Raw genomic sequence first — 21,853 nt, 5'->3', positions numbered from 1 at the left:
ACTACCATAACAAAACTCCTTAATTAGTTCTTGAATATTCTGTATGACATTTGGTAGAAATGAAAAGAGAAAACTTTGCTACAGATTCACTTGTACAGTAGATATGCATGGAGCTCAAGGACCACAGTATGTCTTGTGCAACTTATTTTTAAATACCAACCTCAAACCATCAAAACTTTCCAAGTATTTCAATAGTATGATAGCACATTCAGAAAAGACCTTGACAACTTAAAGTCTTGTGAGAACAATTTGATACAATTTGATAATTGTGAAGTTATCTAGATTTGTGTCAGAATCAGACATGCTTGTTACAAGCATTTTAACAAGTTACAAATTTATATGCCAAGGGGAAAAACACCCATTCACCAGCTTTAAACAATTTGTAAAATTTTGCATTAGGACCAGATCCACAAAAACAGCTTTGGGAGATTCCCTTATGAATAATGTAATCTCTAGAATTTGTGTTTTAATCAGGATCTTGAGCCAAGTAAAGACGGTGCTAAATCTAGTCCTCTTGGCTTCACAAGGCAAATTTAATAGCTACAGTATTTCATCATTGTATGCAATAGGCAAAAGGGCTAGAGATCACAGAAATGTTATTCTATAAGCTACTAAAATTAACTACAAATGGAACAGGTGTTTTAAATCTTAGATTTATTTTTGATCCACAATCCATGAAGATCAAATTACACCAATGGTACCAACGGTGCCCTTTTCTCTGCTAAGAAAAAAACTCAGTTGTTGCCTAAGTAAAAAATAAAAAGATACACAAAAAACGTTTCTCATAACTATATGTGTAATGTTGCAATGCATTTGCTATAAGATTTTGACTACAAAATTGGAAATTTCTCTAATGAGCAGTCAACTTCAGCGAGCACTCTAAATCCTTTCTTCTTTCATGTTTTCTTAAAATAAAAATCCTCAACACTGTTCCCTTCTATACATATGAGGTGACTTTTCAGTATTTTTAAGGCACAAAGAAATGCATCCTTGTTTTTCCACCCCACTAATGCAGTTTATTTGGAAACTAAAAACAGAGTGTAACTTTTGCCTAAGATAGAGAATGGCACGAAAACAGCAAAGAGAGAGAGATATTACCTATGTCAATTACAAATTTCCACTTTATCCAAAGTGTAATGATAAAAGAAACATTACCAACATTCCTTGTCTTGAAACTATCATTTCAGAAACATAGTTGTTATAAAGAAACAACTACAGCAAATGAAGTGACAACACTTTGCAACATTTGGACAATTCTCAAGGGTACTATGCCAATGGGGATCATAGTTTGGCAAAGAAATACATATTGGGTTTTTTTTTAAGCTGGATTCCAACCATCAAGGAACATTTTTTTTGATAAAAGGATTTCATTGAATTTCATGCTGATGGTTAATCTAAATGGAATTCACAAAATAAAGGATTTCTAGTATTCAAATTGCACATATATATGAGATGAATAAATCTTTTGCATCACAAAGTGATGCACAGAGGCTTCAAAATAAAGGTTAGAAACTGTTTAAAGGAAAAATAACCCATGGACATCATTATTATTATTATTAGAGACAGAGTCTCACTCTGTCACCAGGCTTGGTGTGCACAGCTCACTGCAGCCTCGATTCATCCCGTTAAAGCAATCCTTCTGCCTCAACCTCCCAAGTAGCTGGGACTACAGGTTTGTGCCACCAAGTCTGGCTAATTTTTTTTATTTTTAGTAAAGACGAGGCCTCACTATGTTGCCCAGGATGGTCTCGAACTCCTGAGCTCAAGCAATCCTCCCACCTTGGCCTCCCCAAGTGATGGGATTATAGGCATGAGCCATCATGCCCAATGCATAACTTTGCTTTCTCATAGAGCTGTTTTAAGATCCAAATGAGATGTTATTAATATATATAAGCATTATATATAAAGAGTAACGCTCTATGCAAATGTACAGTATTTTCTTATATAGGTGGAGCATCCCAAATCCAAGAATCCCAACTCCGAAATGCTCCAAAATCTGAAACTCTTGAGCACCAACATGATACTCACAGGAATGCTCATTGGAGCATTATGGATTTCAGATTTTTGATTAGGGATGCTCAACCGGTTAAGTATAATGCAAGTATTCCAAAGAGATATTCAACCTGTATATCTCCTTGCTGAAATTATTAAATACCACCATAACAACTAGTTTAATGTAACAACTACTTTAAAATAAAAAAGAAGCAAACACTACAAGATTTCCACCCAACTATCAAATGCTATGTCAGCTAAAGGATAAGAAAAAACTCCTTTAAGCATCAAGAAAAAAGATGAAGACTTGCAACAAATGACTTTATTAGTCATCATTTTCTTAACTCAGGTTAAAAAGTTACGCAGACCCTTGAAACAAACAGACATTAAATTTCAGAAAATAGGTTTAAGTGGCTCTTAAATTCTTTATTTCTACAAGAAAGAATTTGATTTTATGAGCTTAATGGAAGGTACTTACCTGCTTTCCATCTGTAATTCTCAATATTTAACTCATTTCAAGCCCTGCCCCTTTTCAAACTGTTTAATCCTATTATTTTCTGTTAGAGCCTGTAATTTCCAAAACACCAGCATTTAGATATCTTCAGAAGCTATTTTCACACAGTATTCCTAGAGATAAAATGATGAAAAAAATCAAAGTATCCCAGGAAGGCACCACAATGCACATTCCTGATTGTAAAACTGTTTCAAATTTTTTTCTAAAACCTTACACAGCAGCTTGAATATAACCACTATTCAGTGAATGTTTGCTGAACTGAGAATGTTTTTGCTAAACTCTATTTTGCTTTTTGACACATGAGAGAAGGCACTGTCTTTATACCAAAAAGAATCCACATTTCAGCACTGTGCATCAGAAATGCTTTGTCAAGCATATTTTCTCAATTCTCTCCAGAAGACTCCTACTTAAAAGTTGGCTGCATATTACAGTATATTTAACTGGGTGCTCTGAATTGCTCACTATACTTACAGAGGGAATGCACTTGTCGCCTCTCTGCAGTGATTACACAGAGATAAAAATGAATTAATTGAAATACATTTATTTAGCATGCAAAAACCAATTACTAACTCAAATTATGGATATTAAAACATCCACAGGAAACAAAATCCTAGAAGTGAATTATTACCTAAGAATTACCTTTAGGCTGGGTGCAGTGGCTCATGCCTGTAGTCCCAACACTGTGGTAGGGTGAGGAGGGTGGATCACCTGAGGTCAGGGGTTTGAGACCGGCCTGGCCAACATGGTGAAACCCCATCTCTACTAAAAATACAAAAATTAGCCGGGCATGGTGGCACATGCCTGTAATCTTAGCTCCTTGAGAGACTGAGGCAGGAGAATCCCTTGGACCCAGGAGGCGGAGGATGCAGTGAACCAAGATCGCACACTGCACTCCAGCCTGGGTGACAGAATGAGACTCCGTCTCAAAAAAAAAAAAATTACCTTTAAAAACTCTAAAATCTAAATTATAATTAAAGACTTTAATGTAAACAGTATAAAATAAGTCTTTTTCATTTCTTATCTTTGCCTGCCCTCTAATTATAGTTTACAAAATCAAATAACTGTCACATCATAACCCCAATTCAAAAAATGAAGTTCATTTTCTCATTTCTTCTAAAAGTAGTATCCAGCCTTCCCAGTTCCACAAGTAGACAATGTCCTTCTTAGACAAACAGTTCCTTTTTCTTTTACATTTAATATATTTCTTTATTGATTATATCATATCTGAAATTTCAATCACTTAGTTCTTAAAAGACATTTTAAGTTTTTTCTCATATTTCAATGCTTATTAAATGGGGAACACTGATAGTACTATTTACAGAGTGCAGAAAACTTTGAAAAATATTATTCTCAAACAATTCCTACTCACATCTCAGATTAACAACAATAGAAGATTCTTTGTGGAATTAATATTTTTACAATTTTAAGAAAAGTTTAGCAATAACTTAAGAAAGGTTTAGCAATAAAAAACCCTAATTAAAAGTTGAATATTAAGTAACATTTTTTAATTAAACAAACTCCCAATTTCAACAGTTATATAATTGAAGTCAATACCAAAATAATTTTTTAATTATGACTATAGATCTTTAGACATTATTTTGGGAAGAAAGTATCGGAAAATGAGAACATATGTTCAAATCCAGTGCTAGTTTCTTCAATACCAAGGAGGGTAATTACCAATCTTTTCACTGTAACAATTTAACATGTTTAATTTTACAAATCCAGATTCTCATAACTTATATTAATTTTTTAAAATTAAATTCAAATCACTTAAAACTAACTATAAGCATTTTTACAAGAATTTCACCACACCCTTTGAGCTTACATGGCTGAATCCCAGGGAGCTTGAAAGCTGAGGCATTTTCTGATTACTTTGGCTTTCCATAAAGAATAAGCATTATACCAACAGACAATTCCACAGCTCACAAAAACACTGGAGTCAGGAAATTTATATGAAATGACAGCTTAGTATGCTATTGCACATAATTACAGGAAAGTTTTCATTCATGCGTACATTCATTCAATAAACATTTACTGAGACACCTGCCTTTTATCAGCCACTGCCCTTGAGAAGTTCATTATCTAAAGAACAATGATAAGTCATGTAATTACACATATTTTAGTATAACATGTAAGGTGATACAATGTGACATATACAAATTCCTCTGACCTACTCATTCTGATATATATATAACCTAGAACCCTGCTAACTTAAGTGTGGTCCATAAACCACCAGAATTGGCAACCCCCAGCAGCTAGTCAGAAACAGAGACTCTCAAGTTCCACCTCAAAATATATTGAATCACAATCACAGTTACCTGGAGAGCATTTTAACAAGCTCCCCAGATAATTCCAATGTACGTTTAAATTTTGAGAAGCAGTGAACTAGAACATAACTGAAAATCAGCAAAAACAATGTCATAGAGTCCACATACTTTTAAGATCTTCAAGGTCCATCCTGAGCCTTTTTAAGAATGTATATACAATTTCAACAAGTTCAATGGCTTAGTTTCACAGACTAGGAACAAATTGAGATACCACTGACAACAAAAAAAGAAAATAGGAAAAACTTATAAAAAGCAATCTCAAAAAGGGATAGCTGTGTCACTTAACATAGCAACAATTTGTCTAGATAGGCCCTAAAAGTCTCACCACATTACAATAACACAAAAGTAATCGATGTTCTCAAACATGCCTCCTGTATCTAGAACATAAATTCCCTGAGGACAGAGACCTAGTTCTATCCTTAAATTACACTTACATTTGTAAACTGAATGACTCAAGTCATTAAGATGAGTTTGAGCTAGGCAGTAAGATATATGATACATTTTAGAAAAAATTCCATCTGACAGAGTTAAAATAAAAACATTTACTCCAAAAAGAAAGAGAGATAAAGAAAGAGAGGGAGGGAGGGGGAGGGGAGAGAAAGACAGAGTAGAACACCCGGATGGATGGGGCACACCTGTAGTCCCCAGCTACTCAGGAGTATGAGGCCAGCCTGGGCAACATGGCGAGACCTCGTTTCTTCAACAAAACAAAACAAAACAAGAGTAAAGCATCCCCATTCTATAACCCATTCACCAAGCACTCTAAGAACAGAGCCTTTACTGAACCTCTGGCTCCCAATCCCAAAGTCTTCCTATTCAAATCCTCTTCTGGGGGGCTGATGAGAGTGCCAGGATAAAAAGGAGAAAGATTAGAAGAGGATGGAGGGAAAACAGAAATCACCGACCATGTTAGGGTTCCTCCATTCATGAAAATGAAACCAGCAAAAATACAAAGACACACCAAAGATACATCAATCCTACAAGAGAAAAAATGCTGTCTCTAGTAAACATTCACTCCATGTCCTCTGCCCATGTGAACCAGAGATTCTCACAATCCCTCTAACCTAAGAACTCCCCAGAGGCACCTTAACTGTGGAAACATTTCCCCTCATGGCACTCTATGAGCTGGTTACCGCCAGTTTATGACACAATTCACCGTTCCAAAACAGCAAACTTCAGGCTATAACCAGCTAGGTCACTTTCTGAAAAGTGTTGTAATGTCTGTCACTGATTCTTAAAAGGTGCATTTAATTAGTTAAAAACTTTTTTACTATTTTTCCAGATCTATTTTTCTTTTTTCTCTTGCCATTCTTGCAGGATACCAGAAGCAAAAAGACGTATTTTTCTGCAACTTCTCTCCAACCAGGTAGTTCTCATTCTTACTCTCAAAACAAATTAGTTGTCTTGTCTATGCCCTTGCTTATGCTGTTACTGTCAGGCCTCTGAGCCCAAGCCAAGCCATCGCATCCCCTGTGACTTGCACGTATACGCCCAGATGGCCTGAAGTAACTGAAGAATCACAAAAGAAGTGAATATGCCCTGCCCCGCCTTAACTGATGACATTCTACCAGAAAAGAAGTGTAAATGGCCGGTCCTTGCCTTAACTGATGACATTACCTTGTGAAAGTCCTTTTCCTGGCTCATCCTGGCTCAAAAAGCTCCCCCACTGAGCACCTTGGGACACCCACTCTGCCCGCCAGAGAACAACTCCCCTTCGACTGTAATTTTCCTTTATCTACCCAAATCCTATAAAACGGCCCCGCCCTTATCTCCCTTCGCTGACTCTCTTTTCGGACTCAGCCCGCCTGCACCCAGGTGATTAAAAGCTTTATTGCTCACACAAAGTCTGTTTGGTGGTCTCTTCACACGGACGCGCATGAAAGTTACTCCATTCAGAGGCCTTTCCCATCTCTTAATCTGATTCTGCACTAATATGTTAGCTCCAAGCCATGTGTGGATATTTAATATCTGAAATGTGGCTAGACCAAATTGAAATATAAGGTAGCTGTAAAATGCACATTGGATTTTGAAGACTTGGCACAAAAAAGATGTACAATTATCTAATTTTTTAAACAATGATTACATGTTGAAATATGTTAAATAGATTATTAAAACTGATTTCACCTGTTTCTTTTTAGTGTTTTTTTTTTTTTTTTTTTTTTGAGACCGAGCCTCACACTGCCGCCGGGCTGGACAGTAGTGGCTCGATCTCGGCTCACTGCAACCTCTGCCTCCCGGGTTCAAGCGATTCTCCTGCCTCAGCCTCCCAAGCAGCTGAGATTACAGGCACGCGCCACCACGCCCGGCTAATTTTTATATTCTTAGTAGAGACGGGGTTTCACCATGTTGGTCAGGCTGGTCTGGAACTCCTGACTTCAAGTGATCCGCCCGCCTCGGCCTCCCAAAGTGCTGGGATTACAGGCGTGAGCCACCGCGCCCAGCCTTCTTTTCAGTTTTAAATGCTGCTACTACATAATTTTAAATTACAATATGTGGCTTCTATTAGACAGCCCTGGGGCTTAAATCCTACTTATTCTTCAAAGCCTAGTTGAAACACTGCTGCTTTCATGAAGCTTTCCCCCAGTGACTCCAACTGCCCCAGCCCCCACCGCCAACCTCTCGTAACACTTTGAATCACACTCACAAAGAATAAGATTAATTTTACCTTGTTACACCTTCCCAACTCCAACATAAGCAAGTTGAAGAAAAAAAAACTATATCTAGATCACCATGAAGTTTTCCTCTGACACCTTGGAGAGCCCAGCGCTACGGTAATGTTTGATGTCTGCTAATGGAGAGCTGAATTTCTTAATTACTAATTATCTATCCCTTTCAACGATTTCCATTTTTTTCCTCTGGGATTAAAGTCGATGTCTATCAATGTCCTGTATTATTTTTAAAGTGCCCATGAGCTGTACACATACAATATAACGAACAAGCAAATCCAAAACTAATACATGTGGTCAATACACTTAGATCAACTGTAAAATTTAGACAAGCCTCTAAAGGTCCCTTTTTAAAAAATGATGTTGTACAACCTAACAGTGTATCGTGAGATCAACTATTTCAAAAGTAGAAGCCTTTCCCAAAGATTAACACTGGGTGAGCAGTTTACCAAAAAATTATTGGCGGTCTTCCCCCACAATCCCGAGTATAAATCAGGTAAGCATGCAACAGCTTGGGTGCAGTAAGAGCAAAGTCCCACACTGCATCCAAAGCTCAGAAATCGAGCTGTGAGAAATGTGGTAGTAGGGGAAAAGATGACTTGCGTGAAGGAGACGAACGATGAAAACTGTTGGAATGCAAAACGAGATAACAGCCAGAATAAAAAAAAGTATACCAACTAAGTGGGAGGGATTCTCCTCGGGTCAACCTCTGAACCCTCAGGCGAAGGTCGCAGTGGTCATTTCAAAACGTCTTTTCTTCACATTGTATTTTAGTGACTCAGATCTGCATCCAACAAACTTCCTTCTTCAGCCTACTCCAACTCCCACAGCCAGGACTCCGGCCAAACCCAGCCCTGAAGCCACCCACTCCAGCACACTTTGGAGACTGACAGACGACACAGGAGGACCGTTCTGAGGCCCAGCACCTGGATGACACCCCTCTCCTTGGGAGTCCCGCCCCAGTCCCTTGGGCAGAACCAGGCAGGCAGGGGGCACCCAGCTGGCAGAGGGGTAGGGCAGGGCACCGGACTTCGCCTAGGACCGGCCTCTCCGTTCCATGCCGACGCCAGACGGCTCCTCGGGGACCGGCAAGATGGTGAGAAGGAAGAATAAAGGGGCATTGGAAATTAGCCCCGGCTTTCACTCACCAGCCGTCGCCGCTCGACGTTGGCAGCGGCGGCACATCTTCTCCTTCCGCCATTGCTGTTGACGTCCACGTCACTTTGCCGAAAAGTGGATCCGGCGCTGAGACCAACTCCGAGACTCAATGTCGTAAAAGGTCTTCGGAAGTCCAGCACTGAGCTTCCCCAGAGGGGAAGAAAGAGGGAGGTGGCAAGGGACTGGAGGAACGCAACGTCACGGCGTCCCGAGGCCGAAAGGCAGCGTCTTGGGGGAGGAGACTTGGTGGAGGCAGCTGCCCCTCCAAAGACTACATGTCCCAAGATGCCACGGTGCCGCGGGCGGGGCGGGGCGCGGTGGACGCCGTCCCAGTTGGAGGCCTTGTGTGACAAACAGCGTGTCTTTTTAGCGTCCACTTAGCGTCTTCATTCCAGCTTGGCGTCGAAATTAACAAAGTTAGAATTTACAGTCCTAACTATTGGAGAAAGCAAGGGAAATGGGAATTGACATAGGGAAGGCGGACGTAGGAGAAGAGCCACAGTTCAGTAATTTCCTGCTGTAGCAATTTAATTTGAAGAAAGAGTGGGACGTAAGGAAAGGGGCAGACCACCCCTATTTGTGAGGCCCCGTCAAAAGTGTAAATGAAGGCCCACATACTTTTTGACTGAATATTTAAAAGTTGTAAATGAAGCTATATACTAAAGGAGATACGTTCTAGCCTCCTACCTTAAATATATCTTCCTAACAGTCTGGAAGATCAAGTCCGAATTTAGAATTCTAGGACTGGAATTCCAGGCAAGCAGAGCTGCCAAAATCCTTCTCTACGCGTTCCACTTCCCCTTTACACCGCATGGGCGGACACTTGGCCACCGCCGGGGCCTTGGGGTGAGCACACGCTCAGGAGGATGGACCTAAAGAAACGCTTTTGCAAGCCCTGAAAACAACAGTGATGAAGTAGAACTGCATGTAACAATATGGATACATCTGAAAAATACGCTGTTAAATGAGCAAAACAGATTGCAGACGGATAGGTAAAGTATGGTATCATTTATAGTTGGTGTTTAAAAGACAATATATTTAAAATAGATCCATATGAGTTTAAAATGCAGGAGAATGATATATAGAAAACTCGGAATGGCAGTTACATTCAGGGAAAGGGAGGAGTTTCCATGAATTTTTAAATATTTATTAAGGGCCCCAAGGTGGCCACATAGGTGGCCAGTGTTCTTTATAGAGTCTATACTTAGGTATCTAAAATGTTTCATAGTTTCAAAAACTATTTGTTTTAAATAGATACAAAACAGTACAGCTATCTCATTTACAACCAAAAACATGTTCACTCTCTTCCCTAAAGGGAAATAATACAGATCTGCATGGTACTGCACCCACTTCCAAGGCCCGGATCTCTGTAATGTTCAGTTCTCTGTTAGGGAACATTTCTTTTAACATAGAATGAGACTGTAGATGCCCTCTATCAAAAAGAATAAAAGACGTGAATCTAGGTCACATTACCATTCTAATATTCAGGACCTCCCCTGGGTCCCTTCAATTGTTGCCAGTAGATTTTCAGAAACTTTTCAGAAAATGGTTTTAAAACCTATTCAGTCATTGACATGAGAAGCAGTTGCTCACTGGTTAAGAAGATTCTAGTCCTCAATTATGATTCATTTTGAGTATAATTAAATCAGCAACTGCTTTATAGTCTCTGGTAAAATATTTTCCCATTAAAAATATGTCACTTGACATTTTTAAACAGTTCTTTATTCTGTCAAAATAAAGTGGAAAGTTCTGACTTCTATGTTCTTTAATGGAGCCAGAGCCAGCTTCATGGGCATGTAGTCTATGCAATAGCATGAGACCACATGCTTAGAAGAACTCTGTGCTTGATTTCATGCTCTGGTGTTGCCATCTTGAAATTCTTAATAATTTGGGAACAAGGAGCCACTGGTTTTAATTTTGCACTAGGCCTCACAAATTAGGGAGCCAGTTCTAGATAGGGTCAATATCTTAGTGATGTATAACCCATTGGGGACAAGATTTCAACCAAAATTGTTTAGCGATAGTGTCTTCTAGCGGATTTTTTTTTTTTTTTTTTTTTTTTGAGACAGAATCTCACTCTCACCCAGGCTGGAGTACAGTGGCATGATCTCAGTTCACTGCAACCTCTGCTTCCTAAGTTCAAGTGATTCTCCCGTCTCAGCCTCCCAAGTAGCCAGGACCACAGGCGTGTGCCACCACGGCCGGCTGATTTTTGTATTTTTAGTAGAGACGGGGTTTTGCCATGTTGGCCAAACCATTTTTCTTTATTATTATTTTATTTTTATTTTTCTGAGACAGGGCCTCACTCCCTCAAGTAGAATTTGTTAAATTCTAATAATGGACCTCTGCTTAAAACAAAACAAAAATGCTTTTCAAGAACTAGAGAAGATTTCATTATGAAATCTTGGAGTGCGTCCCCTGCTTGCATTTGTGCATCTAATTGTAGTTCCCACATCCAAATGGGAAGGTGTATTATTTCATATTATCCTTGGATAAAATCAAAGCGTATTTCTTATAACAAGAAAATTAAAATGTCTTAGTTTTAAATTAAATTATAGAGAACATAAAAAGATTTTTCATTTATTATTTGGTGTTCTGAGCCATATAATTATGTAATTTATACTGTATTACATGTACTTAATTTGTACCATGCCTATGACACATAGTAGAATCTCCATAAATATTTGTAAAATGAACTAGGGAATTTTTTGTAGTACTTTTGTAATGGATTAAGCTATTCACCTATATAGAAATGGCTGGTTGGGTTCAGGGACAGGTAAGGATTATGAACTCATCTGCATAGTCATAGTTGTTATGTGAGTAGAATTTAATTCAGTTTTCATTGTAATATTATTTTAGCATTTGTTAAAAAGAGATGGAGAAATAACATAGCTCTTGATCATTTATTCCATATTCGTGCAGCCTTTTCTTGACTTTCGTGCATTCTTAGATAAAGACAAAGACCTAGTAAGATGTTTTAATCTACTGCTGCACAACAAATTACCCCAAAACTCAATGTCTTAAAGCAATAAACACTTAACTCATAATTTCTGTGCATCAGGAATCTAGAAGCAGCTTAGCTAGATGTTCTGGCTTAGGGTCTCTTGAGGTCAGAGGCAAGATGTTGGCCAGGGTTGCAGTCATGCAGTCATCTAAAGGCTTCAGTGGGGCTGGAGGATCCAGTTCCGTGGTGGCTCACTCACATGCCTGATGAGTTGGTGTTGACTGTTAGCAGGAGGCCTCAGATACTCCCCAAATGAGCCTCTCCATGGGCTGCTTGAACATCCTCTTGACATAGTGGCTGGCTTCCCGCAGAGTAAGAGTTCAACAGAGACCAAGATTGAAGCTACAACATTTTTTTTATTACCTACCCTCAGAAGTCGTAAATTCTGCAATATCTTATTGGTAAGCCTTATTCAATGTGGGAAGGAACCACAACAAAGACTTGAATACCCAAAGACAAGAATCACTGGGGGCCATCTCAGAGGCTGGCTGCCACATGAAGTAATATTAAATCCTACACATTCTTCATTGTTCAGTGAAACTTTCCCCTGAGATTCCTGCTCATATCATCTCAGCCCTTCTTACATTCTGTCGCCTCTGACCTAGTTTAGGACCATCAACAGGCACTCTCATCTGGGCACTACAGCATCTTATATTCTTTAACTCTGAGAATGACAACTATTTTTAAGTTCCCCTGTAGCCTCCAGTGCACCAAATGCAGGGCAGAACATATAGATAGTGCTTAAGAGTTCTTGTTAAATAACAAAATATTGATTTTTGTTTCTGCAGCTATTGTGTGAGAGTTTCAGAATTCTAAACTTTCCCAAGAATTTCCCTTTTTATCTTACAAGGACAAATGGTTTCACACTTATCAAAATTACTTCAGTTGTTTGTCGTTTTAAAATCCCATCAGGACCTGCATTCCCAGGCTCTTTAAACTACTGAAGCTTAACATTTGATTGAATGATGAACAAAACCCAGTTAATTCCCATTCACAGATGACAAGTGAACAGTTGGCAGCAATTTCAACATCTGCTTTTAATTCATTTTAAAATGTTGAGCAAACTGATAAAAAAAAAAAAAGCTGGAAACTCTGTTTCTGCATTATCCTTCTAGTAGTCATCTTCTCTAATTGAAGTTGACTCTAAATAGGTTTTATAGATGGACCCAAAATAAACATTTGGATAGGGATTGACCCATTCTTAGGTTTGAGATGTTTGTGCTTTAATGTGGGAGTCTGTTTAACCCTTTGCTCATTCCAATTTTGTTCCCAAATGTTCCAGGCAAAAGGCTTTTATTGGGGTTGAGTAATTCCTGGTTGGAAATAGGGATAGTAAACAATATGTTAGCTGGAACTAGCCTTAGTTTTTAAAACTGAACTTCCTGCTGTTTCATGAACTAACGGCTCTAAGGACACGCACACACATACAGACACAATCTGAAAATAGTATCCTTCAGACAATGGCAGTGCTATTCTTGATGTATAATTTATCTCCATTTGCCTTATACACTTGTATTCACCCTTCCTTTTTGGTATATATATGTGTTGCCAAATAAAATAGTTAGCAAGGAATCATCTAAGGTAATTGGATGGAATTATATGATATACGCTTTTGACAATTTGTGTTAAAAATATAGGTATATATTACAATTTATCTGGATATGTTATTTACAAGCTGATTTCTCTAATACCCAAGCTAAATTGTACAGCTTGTCATTGTCATTTTCACATCTCAAATTTACATAAGGAAAATACAAAAGTAAACAAAAAGAATTCTTAGGATATCATGAACATAAAAGTGACTACAGATACAAAAGCATCCAAAAGTTTGGATAAATAATTTATTCTCTATAATTTTGCTCACACTTTTTTTCTGGACAATAATAAATTCTCTGTTGTTAATTCTCACTTATAATCTGGTAACTCCTGTATCTCCATTTCCAACCCATTATTACTATAACAATAATGTTGCCATAAAAAACATTATTATTTTAAAAAGTATTAATATTTTCAAAGCATTTATTATTTTAAAAAGTATTAATATTTTCAAAGCATTCTGTGATAATCTGTCAGCAGAGAGAAAGCCCATTTGTCTTCAGCCTATTTGGTATGTACATGGTATGGTGGTACATGGTATGTATGTATATGAAAGCAAATGGACAAGGCCCTCCTGGACATTCCAGTCCCTTTCCACACCATGTTCTTCTTTCCCTTATACTGGTCTCCTCTGTGTTCTTTGAATAAGCCATACTCTTTCCCAACATGTGGCCTTTGCTGTCTCTTCTGTCTTGAAAGATCACCCAGCCCTGCACACCTTTGGGCCCCAACATATGTACACATAGCATCTAGTTACCTCCTACTCTTACTTCAGTGCTCAGCTCAGTTGTCTCTTCCTCAGAGAATGACAGCAAAGCCTTTTGGAATATAGCCGGTCCCTTTATCATATGTGTCTGTAGATACATAATATGTGAGTTGAATGGAGGAATCAAGAAGTTAAAAATGGGAAAGGAGAAGGAAAGCAGAGAGTAATGTAGACTTGAATAGTGTTCAGGTTTTAAAACATTTCTTCTTGATCTACATGGACATGTCTACCGGCTTCTCCTACTTTTAAGTTTACTTGTGGTTCTTTGTAAATGTTTCTTATGTGAGGCTATAAAGAATCCTAAAATCATGAATAGATTGTGAACTCCTTCATTCTCATCATACCACCTCACATTGGACAAGTTTCAGCAATCATTTATTGAGCACTTGAGTACAGACCAAGTTCTGTTCCAGGATTTAGAGGGAATGGTCTTATCTACCTCCCACCTTTCCTACATTTATCTCTTCTTTCTCTTTCTTAGCACAAGCTCAGCCCAGCACTATGTTTTTCAATCCTCTTAGCATTGGAATAATCCAAGGAACTTAAAAACATACACACATAAAACGATGTGGGAACGTCACCCCCGGGAATTCTGATTCTGCTGGTCTAGGGTCAGACACAAGCACAGGTGAGTTTTAAAAGTTTCTTAGGCAGTGCTAATGTGCAGGCAGCATTGAGGACCACTGGCCTAGACTAATCTTGAAATAGAAACTCGAACTGGAGAACTGCAGAACATCTGACTTCTGGAAATCAAAACTTGAGTGGTTCCAATGATACTTTTATTACAACTGATCTCTAAGATGGTGTCAGACCTGCAGAAGGTGCTAAAAAGGCTATAACTGATGCATTGCCCCTGAATTAAGGTTGATGACTTTGGACCTTGGTTGTAGGAAATAATGTGATTACTTGTACACCTGTTTCAGGGGCAGTCACTCACGGTGGAGGAAAGCAGACTAAATGCCTATGGGCACTTTTACCAACTTTTAGGTTCTGTTCTCTGACACTCATGTGTCTCAAAGACTTGAAACAAATACTATTTTATGAGTTTAATGCCTGGGTAACCTGAGGCCCTGAAAGGTTTAGGCTTTATTTTCTGGCACAGTGCAGTAGGCAGGACTCCCGACTCCCAAACTCCAGAGATTATCTCCAGTTGAGGGAACCATGAAGCAAGACGCCTGATTCCTAGCCTTAGCTCAGCCACTAGCCAGGTAGATGTGTGGCCCTGTTTAAGTTATCTCTGATATCGGGGCCTCAGTTTCCTCAGATGAGGTAAATTGAGCTAGATGGTCTATCCGGGCCCCCTTCAGCTTTAACAAGTGTCACTAGGTGGCACTCATGTAACTCCAGTGGGGAGCCATTGGAGCAAGTTGGCTGCCAAGCTCCTTATGTCCCTTAAACGACCCTGGGATCTGTCAGGGGCAGCTTAGAAAATAATGCAATTTTAGGAAGACTGTTTAGGAGTCTTTTTACCAAGAATAGCTTTTGAATCTGCGGACACCTGTTGTATTTTACCAGCTGCTTTCAAGTATTATGTACTTCTGGTTTTATATTCCTATCCTTTTACCATCTCAAATTTTAAAATATTGTATAGAAAACTATTTCTGTGGCTTAGCTACATTTGTAACATTGTCCAGACATACTGGTTTGTGTGACATAAACACATGAGGTATTCTTTTAGCAAGTACTGAAGTCTGCCAGCCATATGCCACTGCATCAGTAACTTTTAAGAGGAGAAAGATTCACTATCCCAATACTGGACTTCAAGCAAATGGGATTCTGCCCTGGGATGTGTCCCCACTGGATAGAGTCAGTCAGATATGGTTCTTGTTTAAAGACTTGCTCCCCAAACCTGGTTTGTCCTGGTGTCTGACATTGCTAGGGAGGTTTATTCTCACTCAGATTCATTTCAGAAATTCAGTTCTGCTCAATGTGGCTTCCGAATTCAACTCACAGGTAGGGGAATTGGGAGCCTCCATGATCCAATACTCAAGGATGGCCCTGTCTTCCGTTGTCAAAAGTCATCCAATTCACATGTCAGGTGCTTTTCCTTCAAGCAAGGGCCACAGGAGTTGCTCCTAAGGATTTATTAACAAAAATAAACATGGAAGAACTAAATTTGGGGCCTAATCCTGTAAGATCCAAGAAGAGATTTAAGAAGTTTCATATTGCCAATTCATTTTGGGAGTAAGAGGTGGACTTTTAATAAAGACTGCCTTCATTACCTGTCAATATAGGAGCCTTCGAGTTGCATACATTTCCTGGGTTGAATTATAATTACGACTTTCAGACCTAGGGGCATGGTGTGGTGTTAAGGTTAGGATAAGGGAATGAATATACATACATATATGTATACACAGGTAAAAGAATAGAAAGATCCAAAGCCAAAATACAGCAGGGACATTTTAAGTGATGTTCATTGTCTTCTTTATTCTTTCCATATTTTTCAGGTTTTATTTAAAGACTATGAATTTGGCCGGGCGCAGTGGCTCATGCCTGTAATCCCAGCACTTTGGGAGGCTGAGGCGGGTGGATCACCTGAGGTCAGGAGTTCGAGACCAGCCTGGCCAACATGGTGAAACCCCGTCTCCACTAAAAATACAAAAATGAGCCAGGTGTGGTGGCATGCGCCTGTAATCCCGGCTACTTGGGAGGCTGAGGCAGGAGAATCACTTGAACCCAGGAGGCGGAGGTTGCAGTGAGCCAAGATTGTGCCATTGCACTCCAGCCTGAGTGACAAGAGCAAAACTGTGTCTTAAAAAAAAAAAAGACTAGGAATTTGTTTTGTGAATTATTATTTCAAAAGAAAAAAGAAGAAGGAAAGAAAAGGAAAATAAGTGATCAGCAGGTTTCAACAAAGAAACAGTTATTTGTAAATTACCTTGTTTATGGTAAAATAGCCATTGTGATTTCAAAAAGGAATTGTAGTTTTTCCCTTGGATTTGGAAAGTACTTAACTCTGGTCTGATCCACCAGTGGCAAAGGAACACCTGAAAGATTCTTATTAACTTTATTAAAATTGTCCTAAACATACACAAAAGGATACACAAACATACACAAACCATATACTCTCTTAAAATGAGAGCAAGATACAAATAATTTTTTTTTTTTTTTTGAGACGGAGTCTTGTTCTGTCGCCCAGGCTGGAGTGATCTCAGCTCACTGCAACCTCTGCCTCCTGGGTTCAAGCAATTCTCCTCCTTCAACCTCCTGAGTAGCTGGAGGTTACAAGCACCCACCATTATGCTCGGCTAATTTTTTGTGTTTTTGTAGAGACGGGGTTTCACCATGTTGACCAGGCTGGTCTTGAAATCCTGACCTCAGGTGATCTGCCTGCCTTGGCCTCCCAAAATACTTGGATTACAGGCATAAGCCACCATGCCCGGCCAATACAAATAATTTTTATCATTTATAATCCTTCTCTTGATTGCTTTTCTCTACTACAGTGTTTTTACTTTTCAATCTCATGTCAGTTCTACAAAGCTTGGCAGATACCCAACTGTGGCTTCTTTTAGCACTTGTTGCTGTCACTCATTATTCCTTTTAATATCCCCCAGGTAAATAACTCTCTGGGCTCAGAAAAGATTTGGAGGAAGGTTCTAATGCAGCTTTGACACAAACTAGGTGTGTAAGCACAGTGAGGTTACTGAAGTGTTCTGGATTTCTGATTTTCCATTGGTAAAGTGAAGCATGGGTGCTCTTACTATCTGTATCACCTGGATTATTATAAGGATAAAATGAGATAATCGATATGGTTTGGCTCTGTGTCCTCACACAAATCTCATGTGCAATTTTAATCCCCACGTGTCAGGGGAGGGACCTGGTGGGAAGTGACAGGATCATGGGGGTGGATTTCCCCCATGCTGTTCTCATGACAGTAAGTGAGTTCTCATGAGATCTGATGGTTTAAAAGCGTAGCACTTCCCCCTTTGCTCTCTTTCTCTCTCCTGCTGCCATGTAAGATGTGCCTTGCTTCCCTTTCACCTTCCACCATGATTGTAAGTTTCCTGAGGCTTCCCCAGCCATGTGGAACTGTGAGTCCAACCTCTCTCCTTTATAAATTACTCAGTCTCAGTGTGAAAATGGACTAATACAGAAAACTGGTACCAGCAGAATAGGGGCACTGCTATAAAGATACCTAAAAATGTGGAAGTGACTTTGAAACTGGGTAATGGGCAGAGGTTGCAACAGTTTAGAGGGTTAGGAAGATAGGAAGATGATGGAAAGTTTGGAACTTCCTAGAGACTTGTTGAATGGTTTTGACCAAAATGCTGATGGTGATATCAACAATGAAGTCCAGGCTGAGGTGGTCACCCATGGAGATGAGGAACTTATTGGGAGCCAGAGCAAAAGTCACTCTTGCTATGCTTTAGCAAAGAAACTGGCAGCATTTTGCCCCTTCCTTAGAGTTCTGTGGAACTTTGAACTTGAGAGAGATGATTTAGGGTATCTGAAGGAAGAAACTTCAAAGCAGCAAAGCATTCGAGAGGTGACCTGGCTTTTTTTTTTTTTTTTTTTGAGACCGAGTCTCGCCCTTTTGCCCAGGCTGGAGTGCAATGGTGCGATCTCAGCAACCTCTGCCTCCCGGGTTCAAGTGATTCTCCTGCATCAGCCTTCTGAGTAGCCGGGATTACAGACACACACTACCACGCCAGGCTAATTTTTTGTATCTTTTGTAGAGACAGGGTTTCACCATGTTGGTCAGGCTGGTCTTGAACTCCTGACCTCGTGATCTTCCTGCCTGGGCCTTCCAAAGTACTGGGATTACAGGTGTGAGCCACCATGCCCGGCCCAACCTGTCTTTTTATAAAAATGTACACTCATATGCGTTCACAAAAAAGATGACCTGAAATTGGAACTGTATCCTGCAGAGCCATGGAGGCAGAGCTGCCCAAGGCCTGGGGAGCCCACTTCTTGCATTAGCATGTCCTGGATATGAGACTTGGAGTCAGAGGAGATTATTTTAGAGCTTTAAGATTTAATGATTTCCTTGTTGGGTTTTGGACTTGCATGGGGCCTCTATGCCCTTTGTTTTGGCCAATTTCTTCCATTTGGAATGGGAGAATTTACCCAATGCCTGTAGCCCAATTGTATCTTGGAAGTAACTAACTTGTTTTTTTTATTTTACAGGCTCATAGGCAGAAGGGAACTTGCCTTGTCTTAGATGAGACTTTGGTGTTGGATTTTTGAGTTAATGCTGGAGTGAGTTAAGACTTTGGGGGAATGTTGGGAAGGCATGATTGTGTTTTGAAATGTGAGAAGGACATGAGATTTGGGAGGGGCTTGGGTGGAATGGCATGATTTGGCTTTGCCCCCACCCAAATCTCATGTGGAATTTTTTTTTTTTTTTTTTTTTTTTTTTGAGATGGAGTCTCACTTTGTCTCCCAGGCTGGAGTGCAGTGGTGCGACCTTGGCTCACTGCAAGCTCTGCCTCCCGGGTTCACACCATTCTCCTGCCTCAGCCTCCTGAGTAGCTGGGACTATAGGCGCGTGCCACCACGCCCGGCTAATTTTTTGTATTTTTAGTAGAGACAGGGTTTCACCGTGTTAGCCAGGATAGTCTCCATCTGCTGACCTCGTGATCCACCCACCTCGGCCTCCCAAAGTGCTCATGTGGAATTTTAATCCCCATGTATCAGGGGAGGGACCTGGTGAGAGGTGATTGGGCCATGGGGGCAGATTTCCCCCATGCTGTTCTCATGATAATGAGTGAGTTCTCACAAGATCTGATGGTTTACAAGTGTAGCACTTCCCCCTGTGCTGTCTCTCTCTCCTGCCGCCTTGTGAAGAAGGTGTCTTGCTTCCCCTTCACCTTCCACCATAATTGTAAGTTTCCTGAGGCCTCCGCAGCCATGCCTCCGATACAGCCTGTGGAACCGTGAGTCAATTAAACCTTTCTCCTTCATAAATTGCCCAGTTTCAAGTAGTTCTTTATAGCAATGTGAAAACAGACTAATACAATAATGTATATGACAGAACTAAAATTCTACAGGTGGTTCTTTGGGAAGCAGATGGTGAGATAGAGTTAGGAGTATCAGAAGTGTTTGGGGGAATTTACACCTGTAAAAGAAAAGAGAAATAGGCAGGACTGAGAAGGGGAGTTGTCAGAGTACGATGCTTTCTCTGCTAGTCCAGTAGGGAGCATCTCTGCAGAGGCGGACAGTTTCAGGAGTCCACATTGGATGGGAATGGCTAGCTCCTTGTACCCACTGCCTTGTTCAGTTATTGACTGAGGACCACCCAACTAAGAGTACAACCTCAGCTCCAATGCAGAGCAGGTTTTTAAGGAGCTAACAGCTGGAATCTGTCAGTTAACTACACTTCTTAAAGCTGGGTAGCGAATCTTTTCTTGAAAAGGGGAGCCTGAGTGGCACATCTCATGTTTTCCACAGCCAGCCACTAATATGACTATGCTTGGGGCCACTTAAGACGTTTATAATTTATATCTCAAGATCATGAGTTCCCTTTTTCTGATTACAAACTTCTGCCCTTTGTTATTGTTCATTTTCCCTCTGAGCACTGAAAATGCTCCTCCCTCCATCTGTGACCTCATCCATCAGTCCCTCTTTCTCTTGATAGCTCGTCACCTTCTTCTGATTTCTCTTGCCTTTCTGTCAAGGTTCAGTAGTTTGGACTCAAGGGTCTAGCAATTTAATCTTTCCCTTGCTTACTCCTCTTAATCTTTTGAAAGTTTATCATGCCTGTCAGAATAATTTCTAAGTCTGGGTTACCCCATAGCCTGCCTTCTTTCCTCTGAAATTTGCATGAGTGAGCTCTACTGGAGAAATTTATGTAAATCTTCTGAAGGGTAAACTACACTTCCATAACAGCCAGTTTCATCAAGTCTTTTACTATTGCAATCTTTTTTATCCTGTTCTTATTGTCTTATTGTTCAATCCCCAGCACAGTGGCATTAACTTATTTAGCACTGAAAAAAATTGTAATTGAATTTTTTAAAAAAGAAATGCGTTGCATGTATATTGCAGGCTAGATACAGTGTCACGTTCCTTATATATGTCATCTCACTAATCCTTTTTTTTTTTTTTTGAGACGGAGTCTTACTCTGTAGCCCAATTTGGAGTGCAGTGGCATGATCTTGGCTCACTGCAACCTCCGCCTCCCAGGCTCAAGCTATTCTTGTGCCTCAGCCTCCTGAGTAGCTGGGACTACAGGTGCACACCACCACCCCCAGCTAATTTTTTGTATTTTAGTAGAGACGGGGTTGCACCATGTTGCCCAGGGTAGTCTGGAACTCCTGAGCTCCAGCAGTCCACCCGCCTCGGTCTCCCAAAGTGCTGGGATTACAGGCATGAGCCACTGCACCTGGCCTTATCTTACTTAATCCTTAATCTTCACGGCACTCTCATTTTGTGGGTTTTAATAGTCGTATTTTATAGATTTATCTGTTGCTTGACTATGTCTACCACTAAATATAACTTCCTTAGGGGAAAATATTATGTGATTAATTTCTATAGCTCTCCACTTCTCAGACAATGCCTGACACATAGATGATGTGTCAGATGATGAGATAAAAATTAAATGAGGGATTAAATAAGTGACAGAACCAACAGTGAAGGGGCAATATCAAAACTGAGGCCCAGGTCTCTTCAATTTTAAAGTTTGTACACTTTGTGCCACGCATTGTGGCTCTGTCTGAATTAAGTGTTGTCAACTACCCAAGGGCTTATAACAATTTAGTGATCAAAGCTGAGTGAGAAGAAAATGATCTTCTATGCCATACTTCAATAAAAATAGGGACAGAAACTATAGTTGTCAATTGCTTTACTTCTAAAGAATGTATCTAATAACATAGGAAAGACAATTAGATAGTT

The 21,853-nt window shown here is 39.9% G+C and overlaps 1 protein-coding gene across 2 annotated transcripts in view, besides 5 other annotated features; it reads right to left on the bottom strand.

Moving 5' to 3' along the window:
* The window catches only part of TBC1D23 (TBC1 domain family member 23), a 64,247-nt gene extending 55,520 nt beyond the window's left edge, over positions 1-8,727 (bottom strand). For both annotated transcript variants that reach the window (NM_001199198.3, NM_018309.5), the window contains exon 1: positions 8,648-8,727. In NM_001199198.3, the coding sequence (NP_001186127.1) occupies positions 8,648-8,700 (53 nt within the window). In that variant the 5' untranslated portion in view covers positions 8,701-8,727. The remainder of the gene's footprint in view (positions 1-8,647) is intronic.
* Positions 5,980-6,648: an enhancer, noted in NCBI's record as "OCT4-NANOG-H3K27ac hESC enhancer chr3:99981915-99982583 (GRCh37/hg19 assembly coordinates)". NCBI's record gives its function as "activates a minimal SCP1, AML or CMV promoter by ChIP-STARR-seq in naive and primed H9 embryonic stem cells {active_cell/tissue: H9 hESC(naive and primed)}" and the evidence as "EXISTENCE:reporter gene assay evidence [ECO:0000049][PMID:30033119]".
* Positions 7,986-8,654: an enhancer, noted in NCBI's record as "H3K27ac hESC enhancer chr3:99979909-99980577 (GRCh37/hg19 assembly coordinates)". NCBI's record gives its function as "activates a minimal SCP1, AML or CMV promoter by ChIP-STARR-seq in naive H9 embryonic stem cells {active_cell/tissue: H9 hESC(naive)}" and the evidence as "EXISTENCE:reporter gene assay evidence [ECO:0000049][PMID:30033119]".
* Positions 7,986-9,323: a biological region, named in NCBI's record as "hESC enhancers GRCh37_chr3:99979240-99979908 and GRCh37_chr3:99979909-99980577".
* Positions 8,430-8,919: an enhancer, noted in NCBI's record as "active region_20152". NCBI's record gives its function as "activates an Ori minimal core promoter by ATAC-STARR-seq in GM12878 lymphoblastoid cells {active_cell/tissue: GM12878}" and the evidence as "EXISTENCE:reporter gene assay evidence [ECO:0000049][PMID:35858748]".
* Positions 8,655-9,323: an enhancer, noted in NCBI's record as "H3K27ac-H3K4me1 hESC enhancer chr3:99979240-99979908 (GRCh37/hg19 assembly coordinates)". NCBI's record gives its function as "activates a minimal SCP1, AML or CMV promoter by ChIP-STARR-seq in naive H9 embryonic stem cells {active_cell/tissue: H9 hESC(naive)}" and the evidence as "EXISTENCE:reporter gene assay evidence [ECO:0000049][PMID:30033119]".

Source organism: Homo sapiens, chromosome 3, assembly GCF_000001405.40.
Source record: "Homo sapiens chromosome 3, GRCh38.p14 Primary Assembly".
NCBI classification, from domain to species: Eukaryota; Metazoa; Chordata; class Mammalia; order Primates; family Hominidae; genus Homo; species Homo sapiens.
The sequence above is the reverse complement of the archived record's forward strand: the minus strand, read 5'-3'. Positions and strand labels throughout refer to the sequence as shown.